This window comes from Homo sapiens, chromosome 1 (assembly GCF_000001405.40).
Source record: "Homo sapiens chromosome 1, GRCh38.p14 Primary Assembly".
NCBI classification, from domain to species: domain Eukaryota; kingdom Metazoa; phylum Chordata; class Mammalia; order Primates; family Hominidae; genus Homo; species Homo sapiens.
The window spans coordinates 236,274,582-236,289,332 of record NC_000001.11 but is presented as its reverse complement, the minus strand read 5'-3'; the positions used below and the strand labels follow the sequence as shown (position 1 = coordinate 236,289,332).

Genomic DNA, 14,751 nt, shown 5'->3' with positions numbered 1-14,751 from the left:
AGTACTTCTTGAGGCAAACTCCTGCAGTAATGGTTTCCAGCAATGGTCCTTCACCAGTCTGAGGAGTCTGTTACTCCCTCAATCTTTTTCATAGCCCCCAAATGCACCTCTGTTGTAAAAAAAAACTGTAATCCTTTGCTTTAATGGAAGACTGTCGGTTTCATTTTACTGCATTCTCCAGGAATATTCCTTTCTAACAAAGCCACTTCCCAGCCCTCCACAGGAAATGTTCAGGGGCCCCCACATTCAGGATTGGTTCTGAGATATTATCTCCTAAGATAAATTGAGATAGTAAACAATATCCAGTCAATGAACAAGTGTTTACTGACTACTGTTCTTAGGAACAGTAGCCACTAAAGAGAATACGGTACAAATAGATAGAGTCTACTAAAACTTTGCACTCTAGATGGGCTATAATACGCATACACAGTACACAGAAAAGCTAACTCTAATACAGAGTGGCAGATTGTTGGTGCTACGTGAATACTGTGTGTAGGAACTGCCATAGGACTCCACTGATTCACTCTGGACACAGAGATGAGACGATTAGCCATCCTTCCACAGAAAAGGGGAACATGGAGCGGGAAGAAGGGAAGGGAAGCATAGAAATAAAGAGATGAGGGGAATCACTTCTATTTGAGAGTAAAACAGAGTCCATCTGTAATAAATGTAAATCTGTTTTTGTTTTATTTTTTCTGTTCTTCTGGCTTCTCAACATCAATCTGTTTTTGTACACGGTGTCAGTGTGACTACATTTCCAATACAAATAAGGTTGATCTTGATCGAAACACTTTTTGAAGTGGCTTCGTTGTCTGGGGTAAATACCCAGGATTCGTCGTCTTGCGCCAGGAAGATTTAGGACAGGAACACACATGAGTTTAGGAGCAGAGGCTTAATAGGCAAAAGAAAGAGAAAGCAGAGTAGCTCTCTAGTGAGACAGAGGCTTCTGCAAGGAAAGACCGGTGGGTGATGGAGTGCGCTGGATTTTATAGTTCGGCTTGAGGAGGCGGTGTCTGATTTACATAAGGCCCACAGATTGGACGGATCAGGTGTTACATTTACATAGTGGGCGGGGAAAGGCTGGCTACCCCACCCTAATCTTATTATGCAAATGGCTTTCCACTTAACCAGGCCATCTTGCCTGCTCCTTTCTGACAAAGAAGAGGGAAGATGGGGCCGCTAATTTGAAGATGTCTAGTCCCAGGTGGCTTTTTTCCTACCGGTATGCACCCCTGCAAGCTTCCGGCTTGATTGTCTATGTCTGCAGCTCGATTTTGCAGGCTGCTCTTTGTTAGAAAATGATTTGGGGGCTGCTTTTCATTAAAAAGAAAAACCTTACTGAGGACTCCCATACCCTCACTATCTGCCTAAGTAGTTTCTTCTTAACTCCTCTGTCATTTTGACACTATCCGTTTGAAAAGGTGAAGCACACTGAGGTCATCCATGGTTGAGTCTGTTTGGCTTCGTTTCGTTTTGTTTAGTTTTAGGCTTTCCGCGGCCTGAAGCCATGGTTTTTAGTTTCTGTCTCTAGTGATAAGCAGAAAAAAGGGACGAGGAAGGGGCTCATTAAAAGAAAAACTTAGCCGAATTAAATTTAAAAGAGTTTGAGCAACGAACGATCGTGCAGCCCCCAGAATCACAGCAGATTCAGAGAGACTCCCGCGCAGCCACATCGTGGGAGATTTATGGACAGCAAAAGGAAACTGACCTACAGGAAATGGAAGTGAGGTACAGAAACAACTGGATTGGTTACAGCTTGGCGTTTGCCTTATTTTAACACGGTTCAAACAGTTGGCTACATTTCTTTGGCCAAAACTTAGTGACTGGCACAGGTGTGGGTCACCGTTGGTGTATACCTCCAGTTGTTATAGTTCGTGATGTATAGAAATACCTTTAGGCTGAAATTAAATATGTAAGGAAGCCGCTTGAGGCTAAACTTAATAGGCTTTAGTGGCTTAACCAGAAACAAAAACTAAGAGCCCATGACTGTATTCTCTGTCTCGGACACCCCTGCGACCCACTGTCATAATTGATCTTGGCCAAGTCAATTATATATTATCATTGCTTACAATGAGGGAATTGTGCTGATTGACATAGCTAGCCCTGATCCATCTCAGATTAGGAAATATAAGAGGCTCATAAATTCTTCCATTCGAAAAGTGTGGTCAGTTTTCGTGTAAGTCACTTCCAGGTAATTAGGTTCATCTAACCTCGGTGGTGATAGTAAATCATAAATTACATAAGCTACAATAGGCATACTGTTGCCATTTCTGGTCAGCCAGTGTCCTGACGCATGCTTTTTGGTGTATTACAATCAAGACATCTGTGGGAACTGCGGCCGGCTGGCTCAGTGAGGCACAGGCAGTGGGGGAAGATGGCAGTGGCCGTTCCACTGCAGGCGTGAACCCTGGAGCAGCTGCGCAGTAAGCACCTGCCCAAGAGGGACTTTATCAAGTTTCTGCAGGACCACAATTCAGATTCGTTTCTTGCAGAACATAAATTATTAGGAAACATTAAAAATGCAGGCAAGACAGCTAACAAGGACCATTTGGTTACAGCCTATAACCATCTTTTTGAAACTGAGTGTTTCAAGGGTATCAATACTGTAAGTGTTGCAAGTGAAAAATGTGAAGCTTAATGAAGATAAACCCAAATAAACCCAAAGTCTGGAGAGTCTCTGGCTGAGGGTCCACCAAAATATGCAAAATCTGTTCTAAAAACATGAGATAAGGCCAGGCGCATTTGCTTATGCTTGTAATCCCAGCACTTTGGGAGGCCGAGGCGGGTGGATCACCTGAGGTCAGGAGTTCAAGACCAGCCTGACCCACATAGAGAAACCCTGTCTCTGCTAAAAATACAAAATTTGCCAGGCAAGGTAGCACATGCCTGTTAATCCCAGCTACTCGGGAGGCTGAGGCAGGAGAATCGCTTGAACTCGGGAGGTGGAGGTTGCGGTGAGCTGAGATCACGCCACTACACTCCAGCCTGGGCAACAAGAGCGAAACTCCATCTCCCCAAAAAAAGGAAATGAACAGCAGTGAATAACATCTCTCCTTTTTGGGAGATGGGGAGATGTTGTTCAAGGCTGGTATACAGGAACACTACAGGATGGGACTGTTTTTGATACTAATATTCAAACAAGTTCAAAAAAGAAAAATACCAATACCAAGCCTTTAAGTTTTAAGGTCAGAGTAGGCAAAGTTATCACAGGATGGGATGAAGCACTGTTGACTGGGTAAAGGAGAAAAGCCTCGATTGAAGAGTGAAGCAGAATGGGCTTATGCAAAGAAAGGGCAGCCTGAAGCCAAAATTCCACTAAATACAAAGTTCGTTTCTGAAGTGGAATTAGTGGATACTGATTGAAATAGCAGTGCTTCAGCTCTAAGGATATCAGCAACAGTGATAAAACTTGGCCTTAAAGAAACTTACGTAACTAACTAGAGTTTGTTACTATTGGAAGGGAAGAGTCACCTGGAAAATTCAGAGTTAAAACTTGTTTGAGATCTCTACTAAAAATACAACAAATTAGCTGGGCATGGTGGTGCGTGCCTATAATCCCAGCTACTCGGGAGGCTGAGATGGGAGAATCACTTGAACCCAGGAGGCGGAGGTTGCAGTTAGCCAAGATTGCGCCATTGCACTCCAGCCTGGGTGACAGAGCAAGACTCCGTCTCGAGAAAAAAAAAAACAAAAAAAAACTTGTTTAAACTGATCCCAACTTTTCAGAAATGTAATCCCTTATAAATCCCTGAAGTCCAAAATGTTTTACACTACAACTGTGTAAAATACTGGTCAGGGAGAACTTTTTCCTTTTACCTCATGTTGTAAACTAAATGGCTGAATAAAAATATATCCACTGGGGGGCGGCGTGGAAAGACATCTGTGATAATTTAATGAATGTGTGAATACAAGCTGAGGTAAAGGAAGTGAATTCAAATGGAGTACTCAATAAAAACTCAGCATCCTGAAGGAGACATCTGTTGCCTTTCTCTGACCAGCATCCCTTTCCCCTCTATTAAAAATAGAAAGTTGTTTGAGGCCAACCTGGCCAACATGGTGAAACCCCATCTCTTCTAAAAATACAAAAATTAGCCAGGTGTGGTGACACACTTCTGTAATCCCAGCTACCCTGGAGGCTGAGGCATGAGAATCGCTTGAATCTGGGAGGTGGAAGTTGCAGTGAGATGGCACCACTGCACTCCAGCCTGGGTGACAGAGTGAGACTCTGTTTCAAAAAAAAAAGAAAAAAGAAAAGAAAAAGAAAGTAGTAGTTTGTGCAACTACCTCTGGCTCATTTCTTGTGGTCTGTAGGACTGTGAATCAAGGTGCTCACATTCTACCTGCAAGCTAACCTCCAGAAAGAATGTGAATTTTGATAGGAGGGACAGAAGACTAAAAGCGATGGGAATTGATAAGTATAATGGCAATGCCCTAGAAGAGACTGTTCAATCATGAGTTGTACTCTAATTTAGAGTCCCTGAATTCTGTCCTGATGGACTTACCTTTCTAAAGGTGTGTGGTGAAATCTGCCTCAGTACTGTAAGCAATTTGACATTTTTTTCATTTGCTATTTCAAAAAAAATTAGAGCTAGAGCTGATTTTTGTGGCGTGCAATCAAAGGGGTTTAGTGTATGCACTTTCTTCCTGTTTCAACTTCTAACCACAGCCTTAGGAATGGGAAGGTTCTAACTGAACATCATCTGCAGGAAGCATGGGTGATAGCACATCCCCAGGGCCTCTCACAATGCTGGTTTCAGTGTAGCTGATTTTAGGGAAAGCAGAGGTAAATCAGTCAGAATGAGAGAACAAAGAGGAGGGCTGCCTGTTCACAAAGAAACAACCCCGTCATACCACTCTTAACAATGAACACTAAAACAGATCATGACAGACACCACTTTAAGTGAGTCTTGGTATGCCCCTATTTCATGACAAACACCTGCTATTTCCAATTTCACTCACCAAGAAAAATCTCATTTGTCCCTAGAAGTTATGTGTAAGGCTTCTGAGCTGAAAACAAAAGCAAACGGGGAGGTTTGTTACTGTGACTTTCTGGATTAGGTAACTAAGAGGACAAAAGCTATCTGACCCCTGTCTGCATTAAAGTTCCCTGTCCACTTTGTCTCTCTCTCTTTTTTTTACTCCACCCCCGAACCCACTTTCTTCCTTTGTTCTTTAATAACAAATATTTCAAGCCTCTGGAAAGCCATGAATTCTGCCTTTGATATCCAGGCACTAGAGAGAGTCCTTAAAGAACCCGAGATTTTATAATAGGAAAATTTATAACCCACAATTTAAAAAAAGAAGTTTTGCATAACAAAATTCCAGGAAGTATGTGTTATTGACAACCTCAAATACAGCACAGACAAGGAATCTTTTAAAAAGTCTACCAAACTTGATAAAAAGTTTCTCTTATCAAAAGCACATTTATATGAAGGGAAGAAGGCAGTGAGCAGATAGGAAGTATAGGTTTGGAAGAGAAAAGGAGACATGGAAAAGTAGCTGGAAAAATCAAGCAACAATTTTTTTTTTTTTTTTTTTGAGACAGAGTTTCGCTCTTGTTGCCCAGGCTGGAGTGCAATGGCGTGATCTCAGCTCACCGCAACCTCCGCCTCCTGAGTTCAAGCGATTCTCCTGTCTCAGCCTCCCAAGTAGCTGAGATTACAGGCATGTGCTACCTTGCCCGGCTAATTTTGTATTTTTAGTAGAGACAGGGTTTCTCCACGTTGGTCAGGCTGGTCTCAAATTCCTGACCTCAGGTGATCTGCTCGCCTCAGCCTCCCAAAGTGCTGGGATTACAGGTGTGAGCCACCACACCCAGCCAATTTCTTTTTGCTTTTAAGCTAGGGAAGATCTGGACAGTTTGGAGGCAGAAGGGAAAGAGTTGCTGGAGGGGAAAAGGACAGGCAGGACTGGCTTCATGGGCATGTGACCTATGCAGTCAGCCACCCCAGGACCCTGCATTTGGTTTAATGCTCTGCTGGTTCTGAAAGGTATAAACCACTATGTGGTAGGCTGATTAATGACCCTCTATTTATAAATCCTCATCCTAATCTCTGGAACCTGTGAATATGTTATCCTATATGGCAAAAGGGACTGTGCAGATGTGATCAAGTTGAGGATTTTGAGATAGGATGGTCTGTAACCAATGTAATCACAAGGGTCCTTATACAAGAGAGACAGAAGAGTTAGGGTCACAAGAGAAGGCATGTGACGAGGGAAGCAGAGAGAGTGAAGGAGATGTGAAGTCATGAGGTAAGGAATGCAGGTGGCCTCTGGAAGCTGGAAAAGGTAAGGAAACACATTGTCCCTGAGAGCCTCCAAAAGGAACACAGCCCTACAGGTCCATTTTGGACACCTGATCTCCAGTACTATAAGGTAATGAATTTCTTTTGTTGTATGCAACTAAATGTGTGATAGTTTCTTACAGCATCAATGAGAAACTAATACACGCTACATAAACACAAGGGAGATGTATTACTCGTTTTGTAGAAATCAAAGGCATTAATAAAACTAATAGCAGTTACCATTTATTGAGTGCTTCCTAGGTGCTAGGCACTATACTCAGCTCTTTCTGTATCTAATCTTATGTAGCCCTAGAACAAGATATGAGGTGGGAATTAAGGCCCAATAACTAGCTAGAATGTTTTAGAGTTGGGATCTGCGCCCAATCTATGTCACTCTAAGTTTTTTTTTGTTTTACCCCATCCCCATATTTCATCATAAGCCTTTGGGTTTGTCTTCATTCTTTAGCATGCGTTATACTCGCACGTGTCAACCTAGGAGTCGGGCTGGGGCGGGGCAGGAGATGACATCCACATCTAGGGTGCATGAAATTAAAAAAGAGCCGAAGCCATCTCTACAAGTCACAGGTAGCTTACATAGGCACCCACAGCAGATGTGAGGCTACAGAAAAATGAATGAGACAAAGAATACGCTTCAGACCGAAAGTCAAAGATCCCGCACCGTCCGTTCCTAACTCGCCCGCGTACTGGGTGAATCCTAGAGCCTGGCGTCTGCGAGGACTCCAGGAGCGACAGCAGGGACCGACGCAGAGAGGTCCTCAGCCTGGTTTCCCGGAGAAGAGGTCGCCCCGCTTCCCCCGCCCGCACCCCCCGGTGTTTTGGAGGCCCGCGTGGTCCCGCCTCATTGGCCGCCGCGGAGCCCGAGGCCTCGGGGAGGCGGGGCGGCCTTCGCAGTTGTAGTTCCCGAGTCCTCTCGTTCAGCGGCTCCGCCTTCCTGCCGCGGCGCCTAGGCGACCGCCCAGGACCACAACTCCCACAAGGCCCCGCGCTTGGGGGCGTGGCCGAGGAGCCAAGCGAGCCGGGGGCGGGGCCGCCTGGGGGATGAAGTGGGGGCGCTCGCCTTTCCTGCCTCACTCGCAGCTGCCGGGTGTTGGGGAAAGAGTCGCCTGCCTCCGGACTGGAGTGCAGACCTCTGACCCTGGAGTCGCTCGGCCGCTGGGAACCGTCCCCTTGGGTCGTCGCCTGGGCCGCCCGTCGTTCCCCGGCCCCGAGGGGTCCGGCTGGCCGCGGTGTGGGTAGAGGTCAGCATGAGCCAAGGGGTCCGCCGGGCAGGCGCTGGGCAGGGGGTAGCGGCCGCGGTGCAGCTGCTGGTCACCCTGAGCTTCCTGCGGAGCGTCGTCGAGGCGCAGGTAAGCCCGAGTGATAGCGGGCCGGGAACCCCCGGCCGAACACCCGCGGCCGCTACACACGGGCCGCGGCTGTGACGCGGGGAGGGCCGGGCAGGGCCGGGCCAGAAAAGAGGTGATTTCTGGCGAGCAGAAAACCCGGGGAGCAGAGACCTGACCGTCCAGTGCGGGAAACATCTGCGAACCGCCCGCAGGGTGGGGGGACGGCGACACTCCGGGTAATGGCAGTCAAAAGAGGAAGATGGTGACGGTCCCCCTGAGCTGTTTTCGTTTTTTCCTCTCGGATGTGTTAAGCGGCTGGGAGTGTGGCGGGAGATGGGACGGGCATGAACCACCTCGGCTGTCTTGCGAAGGGAGCGAGCGCCCAGAGAAACGGTGACGTCCTTCCCTTCAGGAGTTAGTGAGGGAGGGAGACTGAGAGTTGGGGGCACTCCGCAGACCCCCGAGGCCCCGCCAGGCGCAGGGGATTGGGAGGGGGCAAGACTTCACTCGAACTGTCGGACTAGAGCTTTCTGGGCTTTTACTCTTCCTCGAGCACCTTCCCTTGCTCAAGATTGCTTTATTTTTACCCAGCTGAGCTGTGTCTGCCAAGTGGCATCGCCAGGTAAGTCCCAATACGAGACTGGGGGGGTCTGAGTGGGGCGTTGTGGCTCGTGGATGGAGGCTCTGGCTCTGGCAGTCGTGAGGTGCTGGCTGGTTGTTGATGTGAAGCGATGATTACAAGTGTTCTCAGTGTGCTAGAAATCTGAGGCTTAGCTGACCAGATCCTTTCGCCTTCAGAGAGGTGTTTGCTTCTATTCAGTAGAATTTGAATTGATTGCCAGGTGCTGCTGCTTGTTGTCTGCACCTGCTGCAAGGAGGCAGCACTGCTGAGGGCCAAAAAAATAAAACGAAGGTCTCAGGTGGCCTGATGATGAGGGGAGATGTCATTTGAAGCAATTAGTGCTCATCCAAGAAAAATTGAAGGTGACTCTGAGTGTAACCGTGAAAACATGTTTTTCTGAATTGAGTCACTTTATTTCATGGTTTTATGGTGCCCTGCACTAAATCCCAGAGTGCCTGAATAGTCCGTTTGTGTCTGTGTTTGAACCATAAAAATAAAAGGGGCAAATTTTTGGTATTGGGGAACATGTTAAAATGCAGATTCTCTGGCCCTACCTCCACATGTATTGATTGGATCTGGAATATGGCCCAGATATCAGCATTTTAAACAAACATTGCAAGTACAGTATAACTGTAGCAAAGTTATCTTTTGACTACCTCTTGGACCTCACTTGGAAAACACTGAGATGGAATAGATAGTGGTAATCTGGGCAGACTTACTAAAGTAAATTTTCCAAATTGTCTTTGGCAAAATTATTTTCTAGTCACTAGTTGAGTGTTTCTGAGTGAAATTTACAATTCGATATTTTTCTGAAATGAGAGTTCCCATTTTCTCTTTTTATATAGCACATATTAATTTATGCTTATCTGTCTAGAAACTTCATTTTAAATTTTTTTCATTTACCACTAATTATGTGTAATTAATGTTTTATAATTTCACCTGTATTTTTAAAATTCTTGTGTAGAGATGGGGACTATGTTATTAGGCTGATCTTCAACTCCTGGCCTCCAGCGAGCCTCTTACTTTGGCTTCCCAGGTGCTGGGATTACAGGTGTGAGCCACTGTACCTGGCCTGCCCCTGTACTTTTAATTTCATTATATCCAAATGAATATAAATATAGTCCAACAGTTAAAGATTTGTGAATATTTGAAGTAGCATTGTGCCAAACAGTCTTCCAAGTGAATATATTTGGTTTTTGTTGCCAGCAGTACTTACTTTCTTTTTTTTTTTTTTTTTGAGATAGTGTCTCACTCTGTTGGCCAGGCTGGATGCAATGGCATGTGTTGGCTCACTGCAACCTCTGCCTCACAGGTTCAAGCAATTCTGTCTGCCTCAGCTTCCCAAGTAGCTGGGATTACAGGTGCTTGCCACCGCGCCTGGCTAATTTTTGTGTGTGTGTTTTTTTTTTTTTTCCCAGTAGACAGGGTTTTGCCATGTTGGCCGAGCTGGTCTTGAACTCCTGACCTAAGGTGATCCGCCTGCCTCGGCCTCCCAAAGTGCTGGGATTACAGGCGTGAGCCACCGCGCCCAGGCCGCCAGCAGTACTTTCTACTGTGCTGTTTTTTTTTTTTTTTTGAGATGGAGTCTCGCTCTGTGTCACCCAGACTGGAGTGCGGTGGCGCCATCTTGGCTCAGTGCAGCCTCCACCTCCTGGGTTCAAGTGATTCTTCTGTCTCAGCCTCCCGAGTAACTGGGACTATAGGTGTGTGCCACCACACACGGCTAATTTTGTATTTTTTAGTAGAGATGAGGTTTCACCATGTTGGCCAGGCTGGTCTCGAACTCCTGACCATAGGTAATCCACCCGCCTTGGCCTCCCAAAGTGCTGGGATTACAGGCGTGAGCCACCGTGCCTGGCCTGATCATCTTTTAGATAGTACTTTAATCTATAACATGGTTACACGTACAATCTCTCCGAAGTGGGACCATTGAGGTAATTGAAGTTCAAAGAACTTAAATGTCTTAATTGAATGAGTGACTTTACAGTGGAGCCCTAATGTGGAACCCTTTCTGGTCTATACAGTATGTTGGTATTTTCAGTTCTCTCTAGTATAGAAAAAGAGATGGAAAATAGGAAAATCAAAAAGTGGAATTCAGCCAGTTCTTTGACTTCATCCATATAATAAATTGGTAGAAAACTGATAAAGGGAAGAATTAGAATTTTTGAAAACTACCTCTGTTCACAAGAAATCAAAGTCATTAAAGGAGATACATATTTTAAATGTTATCCCCTTCCAAAATAAAAGCAGAAAAATATTTTTGAACACACAAAATGATACGTGTTTGTATATCTCATGCCCCATTATCGTATAAATGAAATGTAAATATACTTTGGTGAAGCACTGGAAACTAAAGGCATAGTGCATACAAGTGATATAACAATCTTCCTTTAAAAAGTAATTTCAATTAGATATATGTAAGTTTTTCTAAATGCATTTCTGAGGTGGCATAAAATTGAGTAATACACAGAGCCCCTCAATATATGAAAAGCCAGAAACTTAGAACTTAAATAGTGCTATACCAGTCCGTTACTCTGAGGGCTTCTCCTAAACCCTAAAGATCTTGAGCTGCTTTAGCAGTTGCATGGAGTGGAGTGGGCAAGAAATAACCCCGTGTCTGCCCAGTGAGAGGAAACTAATAGGAGCCTCCACCATAATTCATTTCTCGTTTACCCTTATATTGAGGATGTAGCTGTTTGGAGCCTGGACTTCAAACAATTACATCCTCAGTATAAGGGTAAACGAGAAATGAAACCCATTCTAAGTAAAGGGAATAAAAGAAACTTGCTGGGAGAAGCAGGGAAGAAACTTTTGAGAATTTGTAACCATGAGACAGTCCTCACACAGGTTCGCAAGCCAAATATTTATTCTGGGAAAATTCATAGCAGTCCCAAATTTGTGTGCCCTGGGTTTCCAATAAAAGCAAATATCCATCACCTCTGGAGGAATTTATTTTCAACTCAAACCTCGAAAAATTATTGAAGATGAAGTGCCAAGGAGAATAAACAGCTAGCAGTAAAATATCACAAAACACCCAAGGAAACAGGGCACCATGAATCAGATATTAGACAACAGAAACAAACACATAATGACCTTAGGTTCTGAAATTATCAGATAATTTAATATCACTATGTTTAATGTGTTCAAATAAAAAGAAACTTGAAGTATAGAAGGGAAAAAAGATTTTAAAGAGTGGCCAAAAAGATTTTAATAATAATGAATTAGAAGTTCTAGAACTGAAATTTAAAACTCGATGGATAGATTAAATAGCTGATCATATCCAGCTGAAGAAATGATTATTGAATTAGACAACCATTTCATGTCTTTTTTCTTTCTCCTTAATTCTCCATCACCTTTTCATCTATCCTTACTCTCAGTTCATACCTTACTAAAATTGGAGCAATCAGAAGAGAAATTCCACAGAGTAACCCATATCTATCCATTTACTAGTCTCTGTACCCACATATTTTGACTTCCTGTTGGTTACCATTGATGAACTGTGTGCTTTTATCAAAGGCAGCCCCTTCACTTGTATGTTAGGTCTCATTCCTTGTTTGCCGCTCATGGACATGGCTCCAGTAATCTTCTCTTTCTTTCCTGGATCATCAGTTTTTCCTTCTCAAATGGAATTTTACTGTCATCATGTATTAGTCCATTCTTTTTTTTTTTTTTTTCCTGGAGTAGAGTCTCGCTCTGTCACCCAGGCTGGAGAGCAGTGGCTCGATCTCAGTTCACTGCAACCTCTGTCTCCCAGGCTCAAGCAATTCTTATGCCTCAGCCTCCCAAGTAGCTGGGATTACAAGCTCCTGCCACAACGCCCAGCTAATTTTTGTATTTTTAGTAGAGATGGGGTTTTGCCATGTTGGCCAGGCTGGTCTCAAATTCCTGACCTCAAGTGATCTGCCTGCCTTGGCCTCCCAAAGTGCTGGGATTACAGGCGTGAGCCACTGTGCCTGGCTTAGTCCATTCTTGTATTGCTGTAAAGAACTGCCTGAGACTGGGTAATTTTTAAAGAAAAGAGATTTAATTGACTCACAGCTGTACAGGAAGCATGGCTGGCGAGGCCTCAGGAAACTTACAATCGGGGAAGTGCTGCACACTTTTAAACAACCAGATCTCATGAGAGCTCACTATCAGGAGAACAGCAAGGGGGAAGTCCGCCCCCATGATTCAAACACCTCCCACCAGGCCCCTCCCCAACACTGGGGATTATAATTTGACATGAGATTTGAGTGAAGAGATAAAGCCAGACTATATATCATAAAACATGCTGCTAATTCTACTGTTTTAAAGTTATCTTTTCATCCACATATTCCTTCTGCCTTTGCCTATTTTTTCTGTTCCCTCTAGAAAATTCAAGAGTTAGATTTAATTTATTCTTCCTTTGCTGGTTCTTCTATTTTTCAGCCCATTCTAATCAGACTTTTGCTCCTACCGCACCTCTGAAACTGCTCTTGGCAAGGTCGCCGATGTCCTCCTTGTTGCTAAGGCCAACGGTTTGTTCTTAAACCTCAGCTTTACCTGTTGGCGGCATTTTTTCACAACTCATCACTCACTCTCCTTGAAATAATTTTTATTCTGACATCCTGGATACTAAACTTTTCTGATTGTCTTCCTGTCTAGTGGACCAGTCTGTCTTAGCATTCTTTCTTTGTTCCTCCCCTGCCATTGACTGCTAATCATTTGAACCTCAGGGTTCAAAGCTTGTACTCTTTCTTCTCTTTATCTTAGTCATCTCTTCTGGTCTCTTAGCTTTAAATACCAAATGTACAGTGGACTCTCAGTGTTAGTCTCCAAGACTAGGATTCTCAGCTTTAGATCTATGTATCCAACTTCTTTTTGGACATCTCCACTTGGAGGATTAATAGATATCACAAACTTGATATAGAAACCACATTTCTGATCTTTTCCCCCAAATCTGCTTTTTCCACAGTCTTCCCCCCTTATACATAAGCTCCAGCCAAATTGGCCTGCCTGTTGTTCTTAAACATGGCAGATACATTCTTGCCTGAAAGCCTTTGTACTGTTTCTTCTACCTAGCACACACTTTTCTCGTGTATTCATATGATTCACTCTGTTAGATTTCTGCTAAAGTGTCACTTTATCTGACATCTCTTGTCTTAAATGTCCCTGACCACACAAATATAAAAGAGAAACATTCTATCCTCACCAAATTCCTGTCACCCTTTGCTTAAAACTCCCCATTGGCTTCCTGTCTCACATGGTGTCATCCAAAAATATATTTGGTCTTTATTTCTGATTGCTGACATAGAGCCCTTTAAAACCCTTGGAATTTGAGTCATAGGAGTGCCTTTTGTTACTCATAATGAGCCCCTTTCAATCACACTTGTGTTTATAGTAATGAAATGACTTAAGACGGGGACCCTACATAGATAGCCTCAGGATTGGGGGCTGGTCACCACAAAGACCCAAGTGATTAGAAAGTTGAAACTTTTGGCCCCACCAATCTGCAGGAAGGGGAGAGGTGGGTGCTGGAGATTTAGCTCCGTAAGAACTCTTGAACAACTTGATTTGATGAGCTTCCGGGTTGGGGAATACATTGACTTATTGGGAGGGTGGCATGTTGAGAGAGGCACGGAGGCTCTGCACATCCCTCTGCCTTAGTAGCTTGCCCAATGCATCTCTTCCATTTGGTTATTACTGAGTTGTATCCTTTATAATTGATAACTGTAAGTAAAGTGTCTTTCTGAGTTCTGTGAGCCATTCTGGCAAATTATCAAACCTGCAATGGAAGTGCTAGGAACCCACAATTGATAGCCAGTCAGAAGAACAAGTGGCTCAGGACCTGAGATTTGTGTCAGGAGTGGGGCCATCTTGTGGGACTCAGCCCTTAATTTGTAGGTCTGCACTGATGGTGGATAGTGTCAGAATTGAATTGTTGGACACCACCCAGTTGGTCTCAGAGTTGGAGAATTGGTTGGTGTGAGAAAATAACTCAGATTCAGTAAAAGCTAAAATCTTATAGTGGTCTAATTCTCCTTCTTGCCTATTGTATAGTCCTCCTTATTCCTCAAAAACATGGGGCAAGCTTACTGCATTAGGATCTTTGCACTCACTCCCAATGCCTGGAATGCTGTCCCCCCAGATACCTGCATGTCTTGCTCCTTGCCAAAATTTCATGACACCTTCTGTAACTGTCCTATTTTAAATGGTTAGCAGCCCCAGTTCTGCAGTCTGTTTCCAGTCCTTAGTTTTATCTATATCACTTTATTACCATCTGACATTCTGTACTTTGTTCATTCATTTTGCACCCCCTTTTCCCTATGAGAATGTAAACTCCTTGAGGGCAGAGATTTTTGTCTGTCTTTTTTTTTTCTTCTAATTTTATATCCCCAGCACTTAAAGCAGTGCAAATCTTATGTTGGGCCTCAGTAAATAGGCTGAATTAATGAATAAGTGAATGGAAGATAGATGCAAATAAATTATTCAGAATGAAATCTAAAGAGACAATGGGATAATAAATATTAAAGAGAACTTA

The 14,751-nt window shown here is 44.0% G+C and overlaps 1 protein-coding gene and 1 pseudogene across 1 annotated transcript in view, besides 4 other annotated features; both read left to right on the top strand.

Annotated features, from left to right (window-relative positions):
- On the top strand, nt 2,350–3,859 carry LOC100130485 (FKBP prolyl isomerase 3 pseudogene; annotated as a pseudogene).
- Nucleotides 5,047–5,196: an enhancer, noted in NCBI's record as "active region_2820". NCBI's record gives its function as "activates an Ori minimal core promoter by ATAC-STARR-seq in GM12878 lymphoblastoid cells {active_cell/tissue: GM12878}" and the evidence as "EXISTENCE:reporter gene assay evidence [ECO:0000049][PMID:35858748]".
- Nucleotides 7,031–7,620: a silencer, noted in NCBI's record as "silent region_2001". NCBI's record gives its function as "represses an Ori minimal core promoter by ATAC-STARR-seq in GM12878 lymphoblastoid cells {active_cell/tissue: GM12878}" and the evidence as "EXISTENCE:reporter gene assay evidence [ECO:0000049][PMID:35858748]".
- ERO1B (endoplasmic reticulum oxidoreductase 1 beta) overlaps nt 7,375–14,751 on the top strand; it is a 66,858-nt gene continuing 59,481 nt past the window's right edge. Inside the window, exon 1 of the mRNA NM_019891.4 lies at nt 7,375–7,651. Within this exon, the coding sequence (NP_063944.3) occupies nt 7,550–7,651 (102 nt within the window). The 5' untranslated portion in view covers nt 7,375–7,549. The remainder of the gene's footprint in view (nt 7,652–14,751) is intronic.
- Nucleotides 7,661–7,710: a silencer, noted in NCBI's record as "silent region_2000". NCBI's record gives its function as "represses an Ori minimal core promoter by ATAC-STARR-seq in GM12878 lymphoblastoid cells {active_cell/tissue: GM12878}" and the evidence as "EXISTENCE:reporter gene assay evidence [ECO:0000049][PMID:35858748]".
- Nucleotides 7,781–7,980: an enhancer, noted in NCBI's record as "active region_2819". NCBI's record gives its function as "activates an Ori minimal core promoter by ATAC-STARR-seq in GM12878 lymphoblastoid cells {active_cell/tissue: GM12878}" and the evidence as "EXISTENCE:reporter gene assay evidence [ECO:0000049][PMID:35858748]".